The following is a 25,363-nucleotide window of genomic DNA, read 5'->3' on the forward strand; positions in this document are numbered from 1 at the left end:
AAACATGAACGGTGCGCACCGCGCCTCGTGTCCGCCTGGCGTGTGTTGCTCCGTGGTGCTCCGGGGGAAGGTTTGGGGGACCCATGCGGCAGCGTTGGCGTCTAGGCACACAGGTCAGAGCAGCTAGGGGAGGCCAGGGCGACGGGAGCGCGCGCCAGAGAACCGTGAGTGTCCTGGGAACCCAACGGTGCCACTGCCCATCCCTGTGTGGGCGCCAGGCATGAGCCACAGAATTGCCTCCAACACAGCAGAGCTGGGATATTTATAGATGAATATTTTCTTTCTTATAACTTGTTTAGGTTGTTTTACTTTATCCTATTACTAGTGTAGTCCCCCTTATGCACAGTTACTCAGTTATCCGTGGGCTACCCAAACTATGGCACAATAAAATATTTTGAAAGAGAGAGACCACATTCACATAACTTTTATTGGAGTATATTGTTATCATTGATCTATTTTTATTAGTTATCGTTGTTAATCTCTTACTGTGCTTAATTTATAGACAACACTTTATCATAGATATGTAAGTACAGGGAGACATAATACATACAAGTCTTGGTGCAAGCTGCCATCTCAGGCATCTACAGGGGTCTTGGAACGAATCTTCCATGGATACAAGGGACATACCGTTTTATTATTATTATTGCTACTTTTTACAGTAAGCATATGTTATTATATAATTACAAAAAATCAGATAAAATGAAGCCCCGTTCACTGTGGACAAAGAATGAGTATTCATAATAAGAAAAGATTTGTAATTTTCTGGAGAGGAAGAACGATGGCTTCTCTCTCACCGTATTCTCTATGTCTTGCACAGGAATTTTACAGATGCTTTTAGTAAATATTTTTTAAAAATCAATTCCAATGTTCAAGGACACTAAATATCATTCACTATAAGAAACTTTTTCTTATGAAGTATGAGTAAAATAAATAGATGCCAACGGAAAAGAAAAAGCATCAGGTTTATAGAAAATAAGTAAAGAAAATTTTTAAAAGATTCAGCATTAAACGTTTTTTGGAATATGATAAAGCAATAAGTATTCTCAAAATTCCAATTTTTAATAGAAATAAATATTTTCTCATTAAGACAATTTGAACTTATTGCTGTTTCTATATGTAATCCCTTAAAATAACTCCTGCAGATATTTCAGAGTTACTAGCGGGGACAGTGTGGAGCTTCCACATGGCTTCACTTCTGCGTGAGGTGCCAGCCTGGGCGAGGTGCTGCCGCGTGCAGGCCTGTGTGCGCATGCGCGTGTCCCCATGTTCCCCCAAACCCAGCGGTGTTGAGATGTGCGCATGCGCGTGCCCCCATGTTTCCCTAAACCCCGCGGTGTTGAGAATCACCTAGCAACACGGTGCGGAGACAGGATCAGGCCGCGAAGCAGGGTGTATGCCAGCCGTGAGGGGAGAATGCTGCAGAGCTGAGTGTCACAACTGCTGGTTTCCTTTTAAGAAAACGTATAAGATTAATTTCCAAGCTATGTCTGCTGTGTAAGGTGCAGAGCTGAAACCAGCCAACATCGTGTCTCATGTTCTAGGCGTGGGTGACACAATTTCACACCCCATTTAGTCATCCCAGATCTCCCTTGACAGACAGCAGCCGTCAAGAGACGGTTCTCACGCCAGCAAGGAGTGGAGGGTGCTGTCGGAAACCACTCCCAGAATCTCTGTGGTGTGTGTATGTGTGTGTGTGTGTGTGTGTGCGTGTGATGTGAATATTCAGATGTGTATGTTGGTAATATATATACACACATGTGCATATTAGTCTGGATGTTCCAGGGAGTAGAAGCAATAAGAGATTTTTGATAGGAACCGGACTCACAGTGTGCTGGAGGCTGAGCTGGAGACCCAGGACAGCCACTGTGGTGAGGTCCAGTCTGAGGCCAAGGTAGATCTGTGTCCCAGCTCAGACACTCAGGCAGAGAGAGAGTTTTTTTTTTTTTTTTTTTTTTTTTTTTTTTTTGAGACGGAGTCTCGCTCTGTCGCCCAGGCTGGAGTGCAGTGGCGCGATCTCGGCTCACTGCAAGCTCCGCCTCCCGGGTTTAGCCATTCTCCTGCCTCAGCCTCCCGAGTAGCTGGGACTACAGGCGCCCGCCACCACGCCCGGCTAATTTTTTGTATTTTTAGTAGAGACAAGGTTTCCCCGTGTTAGCCAGGATGGTCTCGATCTCCTGACCTTGTGATCTGCCCGCCTCGGCCTCCCAAAGTGCTGGGATTACAGGTGTGAGCCACCGCGCCCGGCCGAGAGAGAGTTCTTTATCACGCAGACTTTCTCTACTCTGCAGGACTTCAGTGGATTGGTGAGAACCATCCACCTTAGCGAGGGCAATTTATTTTCTCACTCTGCTGATTCCAGTGTTAATCATGTCCAGAAGCCTTCACGCAGACACCCCCAAAATCATGGTTAAATATCTGGGCATGCCACGCCCAGCCAAGTTGAAACATAAAATGAATTAATGCTATTAGTTATATTTCTATATAGAAGGGGAGGGACAGAGAGAGAAACACACAGAGAGGGATAGAGAGGCAGAGAAGAGAGGAGAAAAAAGAGGGAGGCTTTGAAAACGGCCCTTAAATTCTAGACACAGCTCTATTATTGACAAGAAGTGTAAAAGTTGGAAGTCTGTTAACCTTTCAAAGTTAGAGTTCTAAATTACAAAAATACTCCAAAACAAATATTTAGATTGTCATGGAAATTAGAGTGGTAAAAGAAATTGCAACCAAACTATATCCACAATAAAGCCACAAAACAGTCTCTAAGTTATGAGACAACCTTGAGGAAATATGCAGACAGTCATTTTTCTCTGGTTTGCATGACTTACAATCTGATTTTCAGCTTTTGTCTTTAATACTAGTATAATCATAATCATTCTGCATGTTAGAAAGGTATTATCACTTTCACTACATAGAAAATTAAGAATAGGCCCAGTGAATTGTCTAACTTGTCATTTAAAAAAGAGTTTATAACATTTATTAAAACACCGTATTTTCATCTCAGTATTCCATTTTTGATGACATATTTATTGAAATACCACTGTGCACACACATTTAAATTTATAGATTGAAAATTTCTTGCTATATTCTATAGGAGGAAGTCTAAGAAATTATAAAATTATATGTATCTATACATACATACAGAGATGTGTGCAGATACAATGTAATAAATCTAACATTTAAAAAACACATTTCCTTCTTTACTTCAAGTGTAAAAAATTCAAGATCAAGGGAAAAATAATACTTTAATTTGTATTCAGAGACATTGAATGTGTCCAAAACAGATAAGACCTATATATTCAACCATGGACCTATGCATATCTAATTTTGTAAATAAATATTTGGAATGATTCTTTAAGTTACAATCCAATTTGTCCTTTAAAAATGGATTACTATGGGTTCATTAAATGTGTTCATTAGGCCTCCATAAGGGGCCTGCTGTGTTAGGAGACAAAACAGGAACAATTTGGAACAAATTTGTTATGTAAATTAAGGCATGCAGACGAAAAGGAAAGCTTGAGATTCCATGGGCTTTATTTCCTTTAAAGAATGAAATGGCTCAGTCCACTTGGGTAATGGTTCCACAAGCTCCTGTCCGGTGGGTTACTGACATAGTGTGAGACCATGTCAGTGCCTAGCAAAGCCACACATTTCTGTGCTTTCTGCTTTGGAATTTTCTGGAAAGGGATATGCTAATCATTTGAACCACATGAAATTAAAGTGCATGCACATCAAAAAGCATCGATTATTTGTGGTTTTCCAGGATTCAACATAAATAGCCATTTAACAATCAGGGTCAGTGAATTTAAGGGAATATGAGAAAATACATAGATATTCACTCAGACTAAAAATCGGGATTTGGGTTTCATAATCGCTTTACTTGAAAGCAGATAACTTTGGAGGTCAGGTAGGTAATATTTGTCCTTAGAGGTTTTAAGCAATAAATTGAGCATTATTCAAATAGATGTAAATGAATGCATGAGAATAAAGATATGAACACAAATTTGGTACCACAAAGCAAAAGGTGATGACTAGATGTGCAGATTCATTAAATTATTGAATTAGCAATCACTCTCACATAATTCTCATCTGATTTCCAAATTATCTGCTTACCCTTCCTTCATTATTTTATGTTTTATTCCCATTGAGTTGTCGACTCTTTTAGTCTGTATGTCTCAAATTTGATTTATACTAACCACATGGTTTCTAAGCCCTGTCATTTTAAATGGCTTATTCCTAATCCTTTCCTTGATTATATGTCAGACAAATCCTACCCAACTTTCATGCCCAAGACTCAAGCCCCACTTCTCCTAGAATCTTCCCTGCTCCAAATATCATATTTCTCAATGTATCAGACACTTCAGAATAATTATTTTCTGTACCCATAATTTATAGCATAAATATTATATTTTATTGAACATCAATTTCTCATGTGTACTTCTCCAGTTAGATTATTCATTCCTTAAACTTTGGGGTCAGCCTTAACCGTTATATCCCCCAGGACATATAAGACCTTAATGATTAATTAGTTGTCATAACTTACTGGTTGTGAACTACGCCTAACAGCTACCTATAGAACATTCCACCCAACAAGAGAGAATAGGTATTATCCTCCAGTGCCTATAGGGCATTCTTCCGCATGGACCATAATATACCATAAAAAAGCCTTAATACATTTAAAAAATTAAAAAAATTTAAACATAATGTTTTCTAACCATAAAGGGGTTAAATTAGAAATCAACAATGGAAAGGAATTTGAAAAATTCACATGTATGTGGATATTAACACAGTCCTAAATAACCAACGAGTAAAAAAGAAATTGCAAGATACATTTTAAAATACTTCAAAATTAATGAAATGAGGACACAACATGACAGAGATTATGGGGGTGCAGCTAATGCAGTGTTTAAAGACAAATTTATGGCTGAAAATATACACATAAAGAAAGCCAGATAGATCTTTAATTGACAATCTAATCTCAAAATACGATATCAGGTCAATGAAGAGCAAGCTAAACACAAAGCCGTGAGAAGAAAGGAAATAACAAATATTAGAGCAGAATTAAATGAAATGCAGAATAGAAAAGCCACAGAGAAAGCCAATGAAACTAAAAGTTGGTTATTTGAAAAGAAGAAAATTGACAGATTTTTAGCTAGACTGACCAAAGAGAAAGGGAAGAAGAACCATTTCCCAAAGGAACAAAGAAAGAGGGACTTACTGACAATACTATAGAAATAAAAATTATTGTAAGATAATTGTTATAAGGTATATAATTGGCTAGCTGTGTAAAAGTTGGAAGTTCATTGACCCATGAACAACTGCATGACAGCAAATTAGATGGCTTAGATGAGACGGACAAGCATCCAGCAAGACAGAAACTATTCAAACTACTCAAGAGGAAATAGAAAATCTGAATGGGCCTAGTAAACAGATTAAAGGATTAAATGAGCAATCCCAAAACTACCCACCAAAACAAACCAAGACCTAGTTAGCTTTATTGTTACATTTTACCAAACACTTAATAATCAACATCAATTTTTCTCAAACACTTAAGAAAATAGAAAACACTTTGCAACTTATTCCATGAGGCTGATATTACTCTAATAGCAAAATCCAGACAAAAGACATGGTGAGAAAATCAAACCACAGATGAATATATCTTAAAAACATAGATAAGAAAATTCTTCACAAAGTAGTAGCAAACAAAACAACCATCTACCTATAAAAGGAGTATATAACATGACCAAGGGGGATTTACCTATAAAAGAAAGATGGGATTAGCATCCTAAAATCAATTAATGAACTACACCATATCAATAGAATAAAGGATAAACAAAACATAATCATCTCAATAGATAAAAAAGAGCAGTTAATTAAATCCAACATTGTCCATGATAAAAATTGTTAACAAAATAAAAATGGAAGGGGTCTTCCTGGACCTGATAAAAGTCACCTATAAAACTCTCAACGCCAATGTCATACTCAGTGGTAAAGGCTGAATGTTGTCTCAATAAAATAAGGAACAAGGCAGGATTCCACTCTTTTCACTTCTTTTCAATATTAAACTGGAAGATGTGGCAGGGACAAGTAGGGAAGCAAAAGAAATACCAGGCATCCAGATTGGAAAGGAAGAAGTGAAACCATATGTAGCTGAAGATGACATAATTGTATATAGTAAATTCTAACAAATCTATTAAAATAATTAAAACTGCTAAACGACTTCAGAAATGTTGCAGTATGCAAAATTAATATATAAAAATTACTTCTATTTCTGTGCACTAGACATGAACAATTCAAAGTTAAAATTAAGAAAAAAATTACTTATGATAGCACTGAATTAGGAATAATTATAGCAAAAGAAATGGAATGTTTATGCTCTTAAAACTACAATAAATTGTTGAAAGAAATTAAAAAAGGTCTAGATAAATAAAAAGATATCTCATATTCATGAAATGGACATCTTAATGTTGGTAATGTAGGATACTATTCCAATTGATCTACAGATTGAATATAATCCTATCAAGATCCCAGATGTCTTTGGCACAGAAATTGACAAACTGATACTAAATTTGCATGAAAATTCCAATGGCCCAAGATAAACCAAACCTTTTTGAAGGAGAAGACAAAGTTGAAGGATTTATGCTTCCTGATTTCAAACCTTACAACAAAGCTATAGGAATCAGGACAATGTGGAACTGACATGAAGATAGATATATGGACCAATGGGACAGCATGAAGAGTATGGAAATAAAGGGTGTCAAGACCACCCTATGGGGAAGCAATTGTCTTTTCAACACATGTTTCTGGGAACTGAATATCCATATGCAAGAGAATGAATTTGATCTCTGATTCACACCAAATAAAAAATTAATCAAAGAGCTAAATACATGACATAAAGCTATTAAACTCTTACAAGAATCGTAGGAGTAAATTGTTGTGCATTTGAATTAGGCAAGAGTTTCTTAGACATCAAAAGCATAAGCAATGAAACAAAAGATGATAAATTGAATTTAATCAAAATTAAAAACTATTGTTCTTCAAAGGACAATAGTTCTTCTCTTTTTTGGAAGAATTTGAAGATAATTACTATTAATTCATTATTAAGCATGTAGTAAAATTTATCAGAGAAACCTACTGTAAATGGATTTTTCTTTGTGGGTAGATTTTTTTATTACTAATTTAATATATTAGGGGTTGTAGGTCTAATCTGATTTTCCATTTCTTTTTGTGTCAGTTTTGGTAGTCCTTTTATTTCATCTAAGTTATCTAATTTGTTGCCAATTGGTTGTTTATAGTAGTTCTATTAATCCTTTTCAATTCCTTAAGGTTGATTGTAATGTATCTTCTTTCACTTCTAATTTAGTAATTTGACCTTTTTGTCTTTTATTCTTGGTCAATAGTCCAATGTGTTGTCAATTTTGTTTATATTTTTAAAGAACCAAAATTGAGGTTCATTGATTTTTCTTTCTTGTTTTATCTATTGTCTAATTCTTTTATGTCCTGATAATATTTATTATTCCTTTCCTTCCTATTTCTTTGGGTTTAGTTTGCTCTTCTATTTTTTATCCCCTTAAAATGGAAGATTAGTTTATACATCTGCAATCTTTCTTCTTTCATAGTGCTCACATTTCCAGTTACAAATTTTGATCTGAGCACTGCTTTCATTATATCTCATAAATTTTAGCATATTTTGTTTTCATTTTCATTCATATTAATGTATTTTCTTATTTTCTTGTGATTCTCCATTTTTATTGGTTTTATAAAAAGTTATTTAGTTTTCAGATATTTGTGAATTCCATTTTTTTCTAATTTTCATCCTTTAAAGTCAGAGAACATATGTTGATTTTTACATTTTTAACTTATTAAGACATATTTTATGGATTAACATGTGGCCTACCCTGGAGAATGTTCCATATACTCTTGAAAAAATTTTGTATTCTGCCATTGTTAGATGGGGTGTTCTATAGATGCCATGTCCAGTTGGTATATAATTCAAGTCTTATTTTCTTACTGATCTTCACTCTAGCGGCTCCAGCAATTACTGAAAGTGGACTACTATTAAAATCTCTATTTTTGTAAAATGTGTATTTCTTCTTTCAAATTATGTTTATAAAAGGGTTGATCCATTAAAAAATGTAACAATCACAAATACTTATTCACCTAAAAACAATGTACCAAACTGATGAAGCAAGTTAATCTTTGCTTAATTTTTACTTAAGTTATTAAGTTATTTTTTGCTTCATCAGTTTGGTACTTTTTTTTAGGTGAATACAGATTTATAATTGTTACATATTTTTGATGAATTAACCCTTTTATAAACATATAATGTCCTTCTTTGTCCTTTATAACAATTCTTAATTTAAAGTCTATTTTGACTGATATTTGTATAGCCACCGCAGCTCTCTTTTGGTTACTATTTGCATAAATTACATCCTTTTACTTTCAATCCATTTGTGTCCTTGAATTTAATGTAAGTCTCTTATATATAACATATAGTATGATAATTTTTAAAATATGTTCTGACAATCTCTGCCTTTTATCATGTAGAAGTTAGTCAATTACATTAAATGAAATTTCTGTTAAGTAAGGATTTCTGCCATTTAACTATTTATTTTATATATGTTTTATACCTTTTTTCTCTCACTCTCTCCATCATTTCTTTCTTTTGCATTAAATAAATATTTTCTAGTGTACAATTTCAATTCCTTTAACATTTCCTTTACTATATTTTTTGAGTTATTTTCATAGTGGGTGTCCTGCAGAGTACAATAAATATCTTAAATTATACCAATCCAGTTTAAATTAATGCCAATTTGGTCTCAAAAATATTAAAAATTTTGCTTCTATCTAGTTCTGCTCCATACTTTTTGCTGTGATTTTCACAATAGCTTCTTTATATAGTGTTTTACCATCAACCTAGATTTATAATTATTGTCTTATGCAATCATTTTTTAAAAATAAGATAAAGAAGGAGTTGTAAACAAAACAACTCACTTATACTGTTTTTATTTTTACTTATAAGGTTATCACCCCCTGAGTCCTTCATTATTTCAGGTGGATTTGAGATATTGTTGATTGTCCTTCTGTTTCAGCCTTAAGGACTCCCTTTAGCATTCCTTGTAAGTTAGAACTAACAACAACAGATTCTGAGCTTTTGTTTATCTGGTAACGTCTTAATTTTCCTTTCATTTTTGAAGGCATAGCTTTTCTGGAAATAATATTCTTGGTTGACAGTGTTTTCTTCAACACTAAATATATCATCCCATTGCTTTCTGAACTTAATTGTTTTTAATGGGAAATGTGTTGTTAATTTTGCCAAGCATCCCTTGTGTGTTATAAGTTGTTTTCCTCCTACTGTTTTCAAGATTGTCTTTGAATTCCAACAATTCAGTTTTAACATATCCTAGTTTGGATATCCTGATTTTATCCTGATTGAGGTTTGTTGAACATTTTTATGTGTAGATTAAAACTTTTCTTCACATTAGGGAAAGTGTGGTTATCATTTTTTGAAATATTACCTGTGCCTCTTTCTCTCTCTGTTCTTTTTCTGAGGCCCATTTTGTGTATGCTTGTACATTTGTGGTCTCTTGCAGGTCTACACAACTCTACATTTAAAGAAAATATTTTTTCTTTTTATTCCTCAGACTGTGTCATCTCAATTGACCTACCCTCAAGCTTACGGATTCTTTCTTCTGCCTGTGCAAGTCTTCTACTGAGACCCTGTAGTGTATTTTTCACTTCAGCTACAGTACTTCCCAATTGGAGAATTTTCATTTGATTCTTTTAACTCCTCTCTAGTAGGTTTCCAGGGCTACTATAACAAAGTGCCACAAACTGGATGGTTTAAACAACAGAAATGTATTGTCACACAGTTCTGGAGACCATAAGTTCAAAACCTCTGTGTCAGAAGCATTAGTTCCTTCTTAGGGCTCTGAGGGCAGGATCTGCTCCAGTCCTCTCTCCTTGGCTTGCAGCTGGCTGTCTTCTTCCTACATGGCCTCATGTCTCCATTCCTCTATACATGCCTATGTGTCCAAATGTTCCTAATACGCCAGTCATATTGGATTAAAATCCACTCAGTTACCTCATTTTAACTTGGTTATCTCTGTAAAGATGCTCCTCCTCAAGATTACACACTGAAATACTGGTGGTTAGGATTTCAACATACAAATTCCAGTGAATGTGAGCTGTTAACTTTTATGACTACCATTACACTGGGGAGGGAGAAATGGTACTGGGGTAAGTCAAATCTCTCTGGAGTTTGCTGTTCCTTCTGAGAATAAGCTCTTTTTTCTTAAAAAAGTGTCCCCCAGGATGCTGCAAGCCTTTGGTTCATTTCCTGAGTTCTAAAAATGTTGAATCTAACAATTTTGCCAGGTTTTCACAGCTTTTATGAAAAAAACAGAATTTGGAGTTGCATACTTCACAATTTTCTATTTATTTGCTCTTAAAAGGTGTGTATGTATGTGTGTGTGTGTGCAACGAAGCAAAGTTTTATAGTTTTACTTGTTTAGGACATGTGCGAAATAATTTTTAAAAACTCACTATTGTTCTTTAATAATATTTCTAATTATTTGTTTAGTTTTCACATATAGTTATGTCATTTATTTTTAATAGTGAGAAAATATTCCATTGTGTGAATATATCAACATTTATGTATTTATTATTTTATTGATAGTCATTTTCCTCAGTTTTATTACAAACACTGATATTTGAACATTCTTATATGTGTTTCTTTGGGCCCATGCTCAAGACTCTCTTTAGGGTGTACTCTAATACCAATGAGTTAAATCACAGACTCATAGATATGTACATCTTCAACACTACTAGCTAATGTCAAATTGTTTTCTTAAATATATTTCCCAATTTACACTTGCACCTACATGAAAGGAAGTCCATTTTGTTCTAGATATCCTTTCACAGTTTGTATTGCTAGGTTTAATTTGAGTGAGTGTGTGTGGATACTTATCCATTTTGATTGCTGTTCATTGTAATTCTTAAATGTGAATCTATGCTTTGGTGTCTATAAATAATTTGGAAAATTTCCGTGACATTATTTATTCAGGTATATCTTTTGCATGAGCAAATGCACTGGTCTTCTTGGGGGAAATGTATTAATGGTCTTGATAACCTAGTAAGTTTTTGTTTGAATATCTTCATGAAGATTAGTGTTGGAAATGAGTGTATGGCATTAAACAAAAATCATAAAATGTTTTTCCCCTATGGAAAGAAACAGTAGAAAAATGTTAGATCATCCATATGAACACCTCTTGAAATACATATGAACATCAGTGATAGCTGCCTGTTTTTGTTTGGGCTGTAAGTGGAAGAAAAAACCCAAAATGATAATTCAGAATTTAGAACTTTTATATCACATTGGTTTGGAGTGGGAATTTAAACAGCAAACTTTGTGTGCAAATAACACAAGCTGAAAAAACAACTAAACTTAAGGGATTTTAAATAAAAACAAATCAACATAAAAGCGCTTATAATAAAAATAGAAAACACAGGAAAACACTGTGCTTTCTATTTTTATTATAAAACTGGAAAATAGATTTTTGTGGGGACAACACGATAATCAAAGTCAAAAAACACAAGAAAAAGCGGAATTAGACACTCAAGAACTAAACGTAAGAGAGTAGTAATATTAAGATCAATTCTAAAAATACAGTTGAATTGATTAAAACCAAGCAAATAATAGAAGTCGTGATGTATGAAGAATGGGAAAATTGATATTTCTGTAAGTTAAGTGGAGCACCTATAAATTTAAAAGCATAGATATGGCAATTAAATCCAATTATTTGATTTATCTTAAGAAGGAATTAATGAACTACGTGGGTGATTGAGCTTTATAAATTTATCAGAATTGATTAGAGATGACAAAATAGAAAATATCAAATAGAAATGAAGAATTATGAAGGATGCAATGATAGACTCCAATTTCCATTAAAAGTATCAGAATAGGAAGTTGATAAGATGGAAGAGAAGAGATGATTCATTTTCCAGAAAGTGTGAACAAATACATTCCTCAAATTTTAGATTAACAAGGAACTCAAAACAGGACATATAAAAATAAATTACACTGAGATGATGTATTACAACTTCTCAATACCAAACAATGATGTTCTAAGACTGAAAACAAAAATAGATGATAAAAGGCACCAGAGCTCTATCACCAGAGAGGTTGTTACTAAATAGCATGGGAAAATAAGGATGTTTCCATCTGATGGAAGTAACCACTTACATAAAAACATCTAACAGAGGATATTTTTCAAGAAAAATAAACTCTACATGATGGGCCTAGGATTCCAAAAATGAAGATGAGTAAAGATATTAGTAAACAAGAGAGGGAATTACATAAACATAGTCTGTGTGGGAGACTAAAAAAAGATATGCCCCATCACCTCCTCCAAATTATATCCTTGAGTACCCTGAGTTCCACATCCACACATTCAACCCGTTGCTAGTTGAAAATATTTTAAAAACAATAAAAATAATAATACAACAATAAAAATACAAATAAAAATAAAGCATAGCAAGTATTTACTTATCATTTATATTGTATTAGGTGTTATAAGTAACCTATAGATTATTTAAAGTTTATGCAAGGATATGCATAGGTTATATGAAAATACTGCACCATTTATATCTGACACTTGAGCATCTGTGAATTTTGATATCAATAGGGGATCCTGGAACCATTCCCTTGTGGATACCAAGGGATGAATTTATCCATCTTCACTTTCTAATTCATGTAACATTAAAATATTACCTTACTTACAAAGAAGGGTCTTTGCATATGTAATAAAATGAAGTATCTTGAGATGCCATCATCCTGGATTATCTGAACACCCTCACAAGCATTCTTGTAAGAAAAGAGCAGAGGGAGCTTGGGCAGACACACAGGAGAAGATGTGTGTCCACAGAGACTGGAGCCATGTGGCCACAAGCCAAGGAGTGCTGGCAGTCACTAAAAGCTGGAAGAGACAGGAAGACTTCCATCTTGGGGCCTTCGGAGTGAGTGCACCTGTGCTGAAACCTCAACTTCGGACTTCGGGCCTCCAGGGCTGTGAGGAGAACAGATTTCTTGTTTGAAGCCTCCCATTTCATACCTTTTTGCCACAGTGGCAAGAAACTAACACATGGTAGGACCAATTTACTGAATGGACTGGACTCAATTGGAGTAGAGTGTCATTCATGAAATGGTACAAGAAAGGATATAATGAAGATGTGAGCAAGAATTGATAAAATAGAGAAAAACAGTTAGGCCAAATTAATAACTAAAAATCCTGGCTCTCAGTAAAAATAACAACACAGAAAAACCACCATTGAATATAATCGAGGAAAAAAAGGAGCAAGTACACTTTGGGGCTGCCCATCATCCTCCAGATGTCATATGGAAGGCTCCTCTGTGTAAGACATAGTGACAGGTGTCTGTCTTCCCATCCTACCCCATCACCTAATCAGTCTCACACACAGAAGAATTTGTATACACTTTTCTGGGTAAATAAAATGCAATATTCGTATGGATTCTGTATTCATTTTTTCTCACACTGCTATAAGGACATACCTGAGGCTGGGTAATTTATAAAAGAAAGATGTTTAATTGACTCAGTTTTGCACAGCTGGGGAGGCCTCAGGAAACATATGATCTTGGTGTAAGGGGAAGCAAACATGTCCTTCTTCATATGGCAGAAAGAGAAAGAAGAATGAGAGGAAAGGGAGGAAAAGCCCCTTATAAAACCATCAGACCTCGTGAGAACTCACTGTCACGAGAACAGTATAAGGGTAACCACCTCCATGATTCAATTACCTCCCACCATGTCCCTTCCATGACATGTGGGGATTATGGCAGCTACAATTTGAGATGAGATTTGGGTGGGGACACAGCCAAACCATATCAGACCCCTTATAAACAGACTTGCCATGTGTAAAACTCACAATAAACATGAAAGTAAATGCCTGTTAAGGAGGAGCAAGCTGGTTCTGAACTTTATGGTCCTGAATGGCAGAGGACCAGCCTCTGCCATCACCATAGATACATCTAACCAGCTGAGGCTTCTAAGAGCCCTGAGCAGGAATGGGCTGCACCTGTCCCAAACCCAGAAAAAGCTGACATCTGTGTGCAGAACTGGCTCCACTAGGGAGCAGGTATAGGAAAAAGGTGATCTCGAGGTGATTCTTAACACACTAAAGAGAAAATAATGCAATCAGTTTCTATGTCCCATGGGGGGATCCAAATGACAGACAGGTGTGTATGTAAGGTGAACCAGAACTTGAAAAACAAAAGGAACAATGTGGCAAAGAATAATCTTGGCTTTAGATCCAAGGGGGTGAAACTGTACGTGTCCAGAATATGACACAGGATGAGGGTGTCAGTTTCCCGTGGACAACTGGCCAGGCAGTGCAGCAGGGGAGGGACGTGGGGAGAAGGAGGGGAGCTCTACACGCTCTTAGGTGTCCCGGGCGATGTGGAAATTCCCAGCAACTAAAAGTCCAAAAACATCAGGGAATGTCCAGACTCCAAGGGAAATTGGTAATCTCTGGTCTTCTTTTAGCACAACTATCCTAGCACCATTGTCTATTATTGCCCTAGCACCTCGACCCTGTGTGTCTCTGTCCTCTTTCCAGGAAGAGATGGCTTAAAGAGATGACTTAAATAGGACACACACCTCTTACTTAGCCGTTTCTTCTCTCATCCCTGGCAGAGTATGCCGATCCCAAAATGCAAATCCAAAGAGACATTTTGATAGATGAACGTGCTTTTGAAAGTTTAAACCAAATCCTTGCCATTATTTATAACTTTTCATCTTAACAGTGCAGTATTTTTTTGTCTTGCATAAATACAAAAGTTATCTCTTAAACTATTCCAGATAAAATTTTTATACAGCTCTTCACCGCCTCATTCACTTTCTCTTTATAAGTTTCTCTTTTCGAATCCTATTATCCCCTCAAGCATTGCACATAATTTTTCTCTGCTTGTTAGCGTACTGGCTTGCTAACTCCAATTCTTTATTGCATGCAGGGTATTTGTTCATGCTTACGATCTAGATCTCACCAACCATCAATTGAGTTGAAAGGGTGCCTCTTTCAGCAATGAATCTCTTACTTTATTCTCATCAGCATAATCTTCCATATCATTTCATCTTCACTTTTGTTCAATGCTTTGTGTCAATTTCTCTATTCCAGCTGAAATTGTTATTTTGTCACATCATCAACTAAATATAACCATCAAGTCTCTCTCTCTCTATCTCTCTCGTTTTCAATCCTTATCTCTCTCTCCCTTTCATAAGCAACCTTGAGCTTCACCTTCAGTTGAGATGCTGGCAATTAGTTAATATCTATAATATTTCTGGCCAGGGTATTTGCATAACTTTATGGAACACCTATATGCAAGGCACATTGCCCGGAGTTGTGAAGTAGCTATCAATAAGTCAGACTTATTTTTGCTCAGAAGCAGTTTGTTGTGCACCACAGAAGTTAAGATATGCATTTGTATACATGAATACAAACAGTTTTATCACCCAACAAAACATGATGATTACCATGTTGGTGATGCTGTTGCCCTGGGAGTGGAGATTAAAGTCAGAACCACAGCTTGCTCAGGTGACTGGAGCAAGAAGTGGAAGAGGTGGCATTTGAGTTAAGATTTGAATAGCAACCAAGGTACTCAGAGAGGAAAGGCAGACAAGCTGGACCAGAGAAGTCAGTTAGACAAGATCTTTAACAATCTATGTTCATAAACATTACATTGATAGAGACTTAACATTAAAATAGGGTGGGATCAACTTTTCTGCAAGTGGAAGAGTTTTAGAGATTCTCATCTTTAATCTAGTGATCATGATTAGAATGTCCATGCATCTGCAGATATGATATTTTAAATCAAGCCAACCTCCTGGTCCTGCTGTGAAAGCATCACTGAATAATGATAGTTACACAACCTGGAATCTTCAATATGTAGGCTCGGTTCCAGAAATCTTGAGTGTTGATGCCCAGAAGACTTTCTCCTGTGAATACAAAAGAGAAAATACAGCTTAGGACCTGTGATGGAGAGCAGGCATTCCCTCTTCAGTATGCTGAGAAGAAATTTCTCAGATCCCGATTTCTAGTGCAAAACGGTTTCTTCCACGTCTCTGTTAAATGTTCTTTTGCTATTCCCTGTGAAGCATGTTGATTTTATGAAGGTATGGAAATTCTCCTAGTGACTCGAGATTGGCTTGGTTTTCATCTTTCCCAGGTCATTCTGGAACACTGGAGATTCCAGAGCTGTTATGCGTCGTTCCGGGACATGATTCAGGCTTAGGGCTTCCAGGTCTTGGCAGTGAGGAGGGAATGGGGACTCTACCATGGAGAAGACAGGATTCCTCTTTGGTCCATGACTCAAAAAGCCACAGGGATGCTCCATGACTATTACAAGACTTCAAAATTACAGTTAATTTGAAGGTAACAAAATATGTAACGTGGCTTACATATTTCCCCCAAGTAGTAACACCGTTATCTGCCATGTTTGTAAACCCAGTGTTCCTGCCTGGGATCCCCCACCCCCTTGCTTAGTGGTCAGCAGCTTTGACAGAAGTGCCTGCCCTCCCCCAACGGCATTCTTCACTGAACTCCAGGAGCCTCCTTCTCTCGGTTTCCCTTCCACGCCACTGGTGCTCATTTTCTCCCAGTCTGGGTCCTCGTCCTCTCCATCTTCTGATAAGCACTCAGTCCTCTAGCCTCCGTGGATTTCTCTCCTCACTCGGCTCTGTGGTGATTCCATCCATTCTCCTGGCACCTGTACAACTCGGTTCATCAGTGGCCTCCTGAACTGAAGACGTCCACCACCAAATCCATCTTCATCTTTCCTCCACCCACAGACCTAAGCTTGATCTTGCAAATTCTTCACGTCTGTAAACGGCAATTTGGTTCTTCCAACTTTTTGAGCAAAAACTCCCACATACTCTTGATTTTTCTCTTTTTCTTAGTTCCCGTGCTCAATTGCTAGCATATGCTGTTGAATTTGCCCTCCAAACCTGCAGTATCCAATGGCTGCTTATTCACCCTGTGTCCAGTCTAGGCGGAGGCAAAGCATCCCTCACTGGGTTGATGGCAGCTGCTGGTTTCAGATTTACTTCCTCTTTTTATCACCCTGCACCCCCACCCAGCTTTCTTCTCTCCACAGCCATCAGCATGATCCACTTAATGTAGGAACATGACACTTTCTGCTCAAATACACCCGAAGTGAAAGCCATAGTCCCTCAGGGCCCCAGGCCTGACACAGGCCAGTCTTCATTATCTCCAGTGGTGCTTCTTGGAGACTTCTCACTTCAATGATCTTCTCTAAAAGCCTTGACTTCCTTGCTGCCCCTCAAACAGATGGAGAGCATCACAACAGATTCTACAACATTAAAAGGGTTACAAGGTAATCTAATGGTCAACAAATTGATGGGAACAGACAGGTTTTTCTAAAGCCAGCAGTCACCTTATTCCCACCTCCACATCCTTCCTTCCTCGCATCTCTCTGACTGAGCCTCTGCCTTCCTCTTTCCCTCCCAAGGACTCTGATGATTGCAGAGGAGTCACCTAGAAAATCCAGGAACACCTCCCACCTCAAGGCCCTAACTTAAATGACACCTGCAAAATCCCTTTTGCCACATAAGGTAATGTAATATCTTCACAAGTTCTGGAGATGAAGATGTGGATATCTTTGGGGGTCATTATTCTGCCCACCACCAGATAACAGACCTAAATGTAAAAGCTGAAAATGTAAAGTGTATATAAAAAATTGAATATTTTTGAGACTTTGAGGCCAACTATTTCTTATATATTACACAAAAACAATAAACAAAAAGGAAATAAATATTTAAAATATCCCTTTTTCAATAGATAATAATAAGAATATGAAAAGTCAAATCACAGATTCAGAGAACATATTTGTAAAACACACATTTGATACAGGATTTGTATCCAGATATATGAAGAATTCCCATGGGAGGGATGAAAATTCAAACAACCCAATGACATTGGGCAGCAGATGTAAATTTATAAGAGAGGGTCTTGGCATGGCCATGAGTGATGGAGACAGGGGCACGGCCCATGTGGAGACACTGGCGTGGACTCCCTGAGGAAGGACGTGCCACCACTTTCTAGAAGAGTGGTTAGCGGGCAGCCCCTGGGCATCGGGTTTGCCAAGCTGCGAGGAGCTGCCCTGCCTGAGGCCATGGCCATCCAAGGCTCAAGGGGACACAGCTTATCGTCCATGTTTACTTTGGAAGTCCCTGCTAGGTCCACTGAGACCTCGTCAAGCCTGCACCTCAATTCAACTTCTCCCTCTGCTTAATTCACTTTCTCCACATTCCTTTCACTGTTGTTGATCCCTTAAAAAGTATACTTCTCATACTCCATCAGAGTTTACATTTAGACAATGTATCTGTGACATGTGACAGTCACACGAGCAATAATCTTTGATACTCCTAAGCACTGTTTATCTGAAAACTGTGAATTAAAACCACCAGGAGACACCACTTTACATCCATTAGACTGGCTGAAATGGAAAGACTGCCCACATCAAGTGCTGGCAATGTTTTCAGAAAGTGGAACTCTGTCCATTGCTTGGGGGACTGAAAAACGGCAAAACTATTTGAAAGCAATTTGACAAATTCTTATACAGTTAAATCAATCCAATTGCTTGATAATTTCACTCCTATTTCCTACCACAAATAAAAACATGTCCACAGAACGAGTCAGTGAAAATGAGCAACAGATTTGGACATCCCTGGGTGTCACGGCTTCAGCAGGTCCCTCCATTCAGGGTCTCTGACTTCTGGCAACACCCCAATTTATGTTCAGAGATTGCAGTAAAGACAGGTGTAAGAAATTATAAAAGTATTAATTTGGAGAACTAGCAAATGTCCATGAAATCTTCACAATTTATATTCTTCTGTCACGGCTTCAGCAGGTCCCTCTGTTCGGGGTCTCTGACTTCCTGCAACATCTGGGGTGGATTGTATTTTCTAATGTGGCCACAGCAATACTTCCAGTCCTCTTCCAGAATCGTGCTGCTCCCCCACCAAGAGGCTGATTCTCTTGCCCTTTTCATAGAAATGTGGCTGTCCTTTTTTGGCTGCCTTGACTGATAGAAGGTGGTAGAAGTGAGACTGAGTCATAGACAGCAAAATGTCTCTGCCAGGTCTTTCTCTCTCAGGACAACTGCCCTTTGTACCCAGCCTCCATGTTGGGAGGAAGCTCAGGCCATGTGTGGAGGCATCAGGGCCAACAGTTCCCACTAAGAGCTTGAAGCTACCACCAGCCTCAACTACCACAAACACCGAACAGTGAGCCTCAAGAAGATCCCAGTCCACAGCCTGTTCCACTCCAGTGGTGTCAGGCAGCTGAGATAAGCTCTCCCTGCTAAGAATTAACTGATTTGCTGATTAATGAGCCAAATAAATGTTGTAATAATTTCCCTAAATTCTACACAAGACACTTCGCACTATTTGCAATAGCAAAGACATGGAATCAACCTAGATACCCATCAGTAGTAGACTGGATAAAGAAATGTGGTACATGTATACCATGGAATACTACACAGCCATAAGAAAGAACAAAATCACATCTTTTGCAACAATACTGATGCAGCTGGAGGTCATTATTCTAAGTGTATTAATGCAGGAACAGAAAACCAAATCCTACACATTCTTACTTAGAAGCGGGAGCTAAATATCGAGTACACATAGAAACAAAGAGGGAACAATAGATGCCGGAGCATACTTGATGGTGGAGGGAGGGTGGAAGGCAAGGCTAGAAAAACTGCTTATTGGTTCCCATGCTGGCTACCTGGGCAATAAAATCATTTGAAAACTGCTTATTGGTTCCCGTGCTGACTACCTTGGTGATAAAACCATTTGTACACCAAACCCCAGTGACACTCAATTTACCCATGTAACAAACCTGCAAACGTACCCTCGAACTTAAAATAAAAGTTAAAAAAGAGAAAAGAAAGGTCTACGAATGGTCAAAAAGCACTTAAAAATTCCCCAAATCAGAAATCATTCTGGAATTGCAGATTAAAATCACAATGAGACACCACTATGCACTCATTAGGAGAAGTAAAATCAAAATGGTGACAATGGCAGTGTTGGGGGGGCATAGAGCAACTGAGACCCTCACTATTCAGCCACTCTGGAAAATATTTTCACATGAAAATAAAGAAGTTAAACATGTACTTACAAAAAACCAGCAATTCAGCTCATGGGTATTTATGCAAAATAAAATTTTTAAAAGCTTATACAAAAACCTGTACATGAATGTTCATAGAAATTTTATTCATAATAGCCCCAAATTGGAACAAATAAATATACCTATCAACTGGTGAATGAATGGGTGAGAAAACTGTTATATTCCTACAGTGGACGGCCGGATGGTTCTTGGAGATTGAAGATGCAGGGAGGGACCTACTTCAAATGGTGGTAAGAAAACTTTGGGGGTGATAGGGAGGGTCTGTTTATTAATCATGATGCCCACTCCACGGGAGCACACACCTCTGAAAATCAATAGATTGTGACTTTAAATGAGAGCATTTTATTCTAAGTGAATGATACATCAACGAATTTTCTATTAAAAACATGTTCACAGAAATACATGTGCAAGAATCTTTGTAGCTTCATTATTCACACTCTAAATAAGGCCTTTTGCTTTTTCTGCTGCTCTATGATTAAAAAAATGTAGAAAAAATGAATATTTCTCAGGCATATTTCAGTTTGTTATGCTTTTCTTTTTGTAAAACCAACATGTTTAATTTAAAATATCTGGGAAATAAAATAATATACAAAAAATAATTAAGTGTAAGACTATTCTAATCACTATTAACTTTATGTGTGTCTTCTTCCAGTTTTACAAACATTATTTTTAACGTAATTTAGACTATTGCATTAGTTTGTCATTAATGTTATTAATAATAATTATTTATAAATATGTTTCCCGGTTGTTCACATCATGTACTTTAATAGACCCTTTGTTATGTCATTAAATTCATAACTGATTTAAAGTTAGCATAGAAATCTCCTTTTGAGCAAATGAAGGTTAGAGCAAAAGAAATGGATCTTTCCTGTATGAGATCACACATCTCATGGATTGGGCTTTCCAAACCTGGTCTTGGCTGATAAAAGGAAATTTGAGAAACAGTAGCTCAGACCTGCCTATTCTAAACAACTGTTGTGAAAAAGATTATTCAAAATATTCTTTTAGTGAAAATAATCCTGAGCTATATATGACATACATCTAAGTGTGTCTATACTAACTGGTACATTTCATTGTATAATCCCTGGACAATTAACATTTAATGAAAAGCTTTGAAATAAATAAATTTGTGCCATCTTAAATTAAATTGTGATGATTTGATTTCCACTGGAAATCTCATAAGAAAACAAGAAGACATTTCTTAGGAAACAAATGCACTATTAATTCAATAGAGAATAGAAAGTGATGTCTCTAGTTTACTATAAAAGATAAGACAATTTTTTCATATTTGGATAAAAAGCATTATAATTAGGGCACTTATTGGGGGCCAGGGACTTTAAGTGGAGTTATGTTACAATTTTGTTTAAACCATTAAAATAGTTATTTTTTTTCTTTAAACACATCACAAGAGTACAATGAATTAACTGAAAGTTGTGATTAATATGTAAAAATTGACTTTGCAATTGGTGATAAGAATTTGAAATCTAAAAAAACTGAAAATGTGTTAAAATTGATATGTATAGGTGTCAACAATTTTCCGGAAACTCTCTTGCTTTCCAAGAGGGTATTTTGAGCACTTGAGAGGAGCGATGGCTTCCTTTCATGACTGATGTGCTGTGCGTTACTATAATGTGCTCTGTTAGCATGGTAATTACAGCCCGCACAGGCAGGGTGCAGGATAATCACCACCTGTAAGTGTTTACAAGAGAAAAGACATGCTGCAAGAAATGGAACTGTATTACTTTAGACCTAACTATTAGCATTCTCTCACAATCATCTCATGGTCTTAGAAATACATGATACTTCTCATTTCCCTATCATTTTTAACGTCTGACACCAAAATTAGGATATTGAGAAGGTCACAGAGTACTGAATTCTGTAATGATCCTTCATTACTCAGTGTTCTCACTGATTTTTTCTTACCTTGGCTATTTTTTACTAGTTAATGTGGGATTTTTTTACCCGTTGAGTATTTCTTATCCCTGAATTATTCACCAAAGGTCCACATGACATTTTCTCAACTCGATGTTTCCTTCATAAACCCTCTTGCAGCTATAGTTTCCTCCTTTCCATTCTCAGAGTTGAGATTTCCATGGCTTCAAACATGGACTACTTGAATGGCAGATACAGTCCCTGATGAACATGTATTGGTGTAGAGATATAAGGGGTAAAAGTCTCCTCCAGGCTTCAAGAAGCTCACAAGTTAGTAGATACGGTGAGTAAATAAACACACATATGTGCACATGTGCACATGCATGCACACAAGTGCAATACACAACTCACACACATATGCACTCATGAACAGCTGCACATATACACACATACATATGCACATGCAAGTACAGTGTGATCTGCACCTTTTCAACCACCTAATCACCAGGCAAGGGATACAGAAGGCTGCCTCTGGTGTGAATAGAGGAGACCACATGCAAAGCATAGTCATAGTTACTTACACATGCTTGAAGTATTTGTAGTGTGTCACGGCCTTAGAAAAGGGTGCACACAGGTTGCGGGCCCTTGGCTGGCACTGTCTTTGCTCAACAACATGTGCGACTCTTCGATGAGCCAGAGGTTTAACCACTGGCTTCACCATGGGTGAAAAGTGGAGCTTTGGCTTTTCATAAGAGGCTGGATTGGGACACCTGGAATAAGAAAATTACTCACCATTTTCGGAGGGACAGAGGCCCTGGAAATGCCATCAATAGACCTCAGTGCTTATGAAATGGTGACACTGGACTGGTGGCAGCCAGCTTGCAGATATGGGCAGGGAGATCCCAAACCTAATGTCACCAGCCCAGTGGACAACACCATGGTGCAGAAACATGTGGATATCAAACTGATAGACCAGCAACCAGATAATCCACACCCAGCACCCCACCTGTCCTGCAGCTTCAGGAACCTCCTTAAATTCCACAGGAGTTTTGTTAAGAAAACAGGTTTCACTATGAAGGCATCTAAATACCTGAGGGTCCTCAAAACCAAAGCTTAGGCAAGAAGGAACTCGGCAGGAATGCAGGTGTGGGATTTAGAGAGATGCTCTTGCCATGGCTCACCTTGGAGGGGTGGCCTCTCACCTCCAGGCTAGGTTTGGAGAGATGATCTTGCCATGGCTCACCTTGGAGGGGCGACCTCTGACCTCCAGGCTGGGTAGGGGCCACGTGCAGGTAGGTTTCTTCTCATCCTGGCACGTCCCCCTGCTCCTGGCCCCAGCCACACACCCAGAATTCTTGACCTTAATGGCCTTCGTGATTTTTATAAGAAGTTTTTCTTTGTTGACTTCTATAAGAAGTTGTGATTATATATTTTTATTTTCTCACTCATTTGACTGCAAGTTCTTTGAAGACAGGTAAAATTCACTCCTGCCTTATCTCCACCCCGAGCGCAGTGTTCAGCAAACATTTGTCAAATTGTGCTAAAAAGGGAGGGGAGTTAAAATATTTAATAAGAACTGTGCAAACATTTTTCTGTTCATGTGTCAATAAAATTCCAAAGGATTGGATTTGAAAGATTCAACAGAGAAATAACCTGTTGAAATTGTTCTCACCACATACACACACACGCATGCACACACACACACACGGTAACTATGTGAGTAATGGTAATTAACTTGATCGTGGTGACTGTTTCACAAAGTATAGCAACGCATTGAGTAGTGTACCTTGAACGTATGCGATTTTTGTCAGGTATATTTCAAAAAAGTTGAAACAAAAGAAAGTTCTTAATCCTACCAGGAATGAAAGGCCTTTTACAGCTTAAAATACACAACACCTCAAAGAAAATCAAAAGATAAAAGCTGTAGGAATTTTACAGCTTTCCGTTTTATGGCAAGTAAATATCTTATGTGATAATCAAATTTTCACCTCTAAATGTAAAAGTTAGCAAGAAACATCATTAGCTAGCTCATCCAAATCATAAAATAACATATTTTTCTTTAAAGTTCAGTTGAGAATACCTGAAATTGGTACTCATATGTAATATTTGCCAGAAATTCAAGGAGAACACACACACAGATATTCCGCACAGAAATTTATTCAGGTGTTTATTAAATTTTTCTGTTGGTCAGACATCATAGAACTCCTTTTCTCATGGAGTTTCTATTTACTCTATGACAAAATAAGTAAAATATTAGCAAAATAGCCATTGTGTGAAGAAGGAGGCATGAGTACTCTTGAGAAAGAGAAAACAAGCAAGTGGGTAAGCAGGCCAGGCATGCAGGACCTGCTGTTTGCAGCAATATGGTCCTGGGAGGCCTTCCTAGAAAAGCCGGATTTCAGTGTTGTCCGGAAAATGGCAAGGAAGCGATCTAATGCAGAGATCTAGTGAGAGGCATTGTCAAGTAGAGGGATGGGGCAGTGCAAAGACCCTGGGGCAGGGACACTGTGGTGCTGGAGGGACCAGGTGCCAATGTGGTGAGAGCTGACTTCCGCAGGAGTGAGGTGGGGTCCCCTCTGCAGGGCTTGGCTGGCCAGTGGAATGTCAGGTCTTTCCAAACCTAGAGGGGGCCAAGTGTGTTTCAGAACTTGAACTTACCCAGACTTTCAGAAAGGTAATTAGAAATCAAAATTTTCTAACTAGAAATCATGTTCAGAAATACATTTAAAAGGCCAGGCCTGGTGGCTCACACCTGTAATCCCAGCACTTTGGAAGGCTGAGGCGGGCAGATCATTTGAGGTCAGGAGTTCAAGACCGGCCTGACCAACATTGTGAAACCCCATCTCTACTAAAATACAAAAATTATCCAGGCGTGGTGGTGGGTGTCTGTAATCCCAGCTACTTGGGAGGCTGAGGCAGCAGAATCACTTTTAAACCTGGGAGGTGGAGGTTGCGGTGAGCCGAGATGGTACCACTGCACTTCAGCCTGGGCGACAGAGTGAGACTCCCTCTCAAAAAAAAAAAAAAAAAAAAAAAAAAGGCTCACTTCTCTAATCCCAGCACTTTGGGAGGCTGAGGTGGGTGGATCACATGAGGTCAGGAGTTTGAGATCAGCCTGCCCAACATGGAGAAACCCCATCTCTACTAAAAATACAAAATTAGCCTGGCGTGATGGCGCATGCCTGTAATCCCGGTTACTTGGGAGGCTGAGGCAGAATTGCTTGAACGTGGGAGGCAGAGGTGGTGGTGAGCTGAGATCGCGCCGTTGCACTCT

The sequence above is a fragment of the Homo sapiens genome, chromosome 10, assembly GCF_000001405.40.
Source record: "Homo sapiens chromosome 10, GRCh38.p14 Primary Assembly".
NCBI classification, from domain to species: Eukaryota; Metazoa; Chordata; class Mammalia; order Primates; family Hominidae; genus Homo; species Homo sapiens.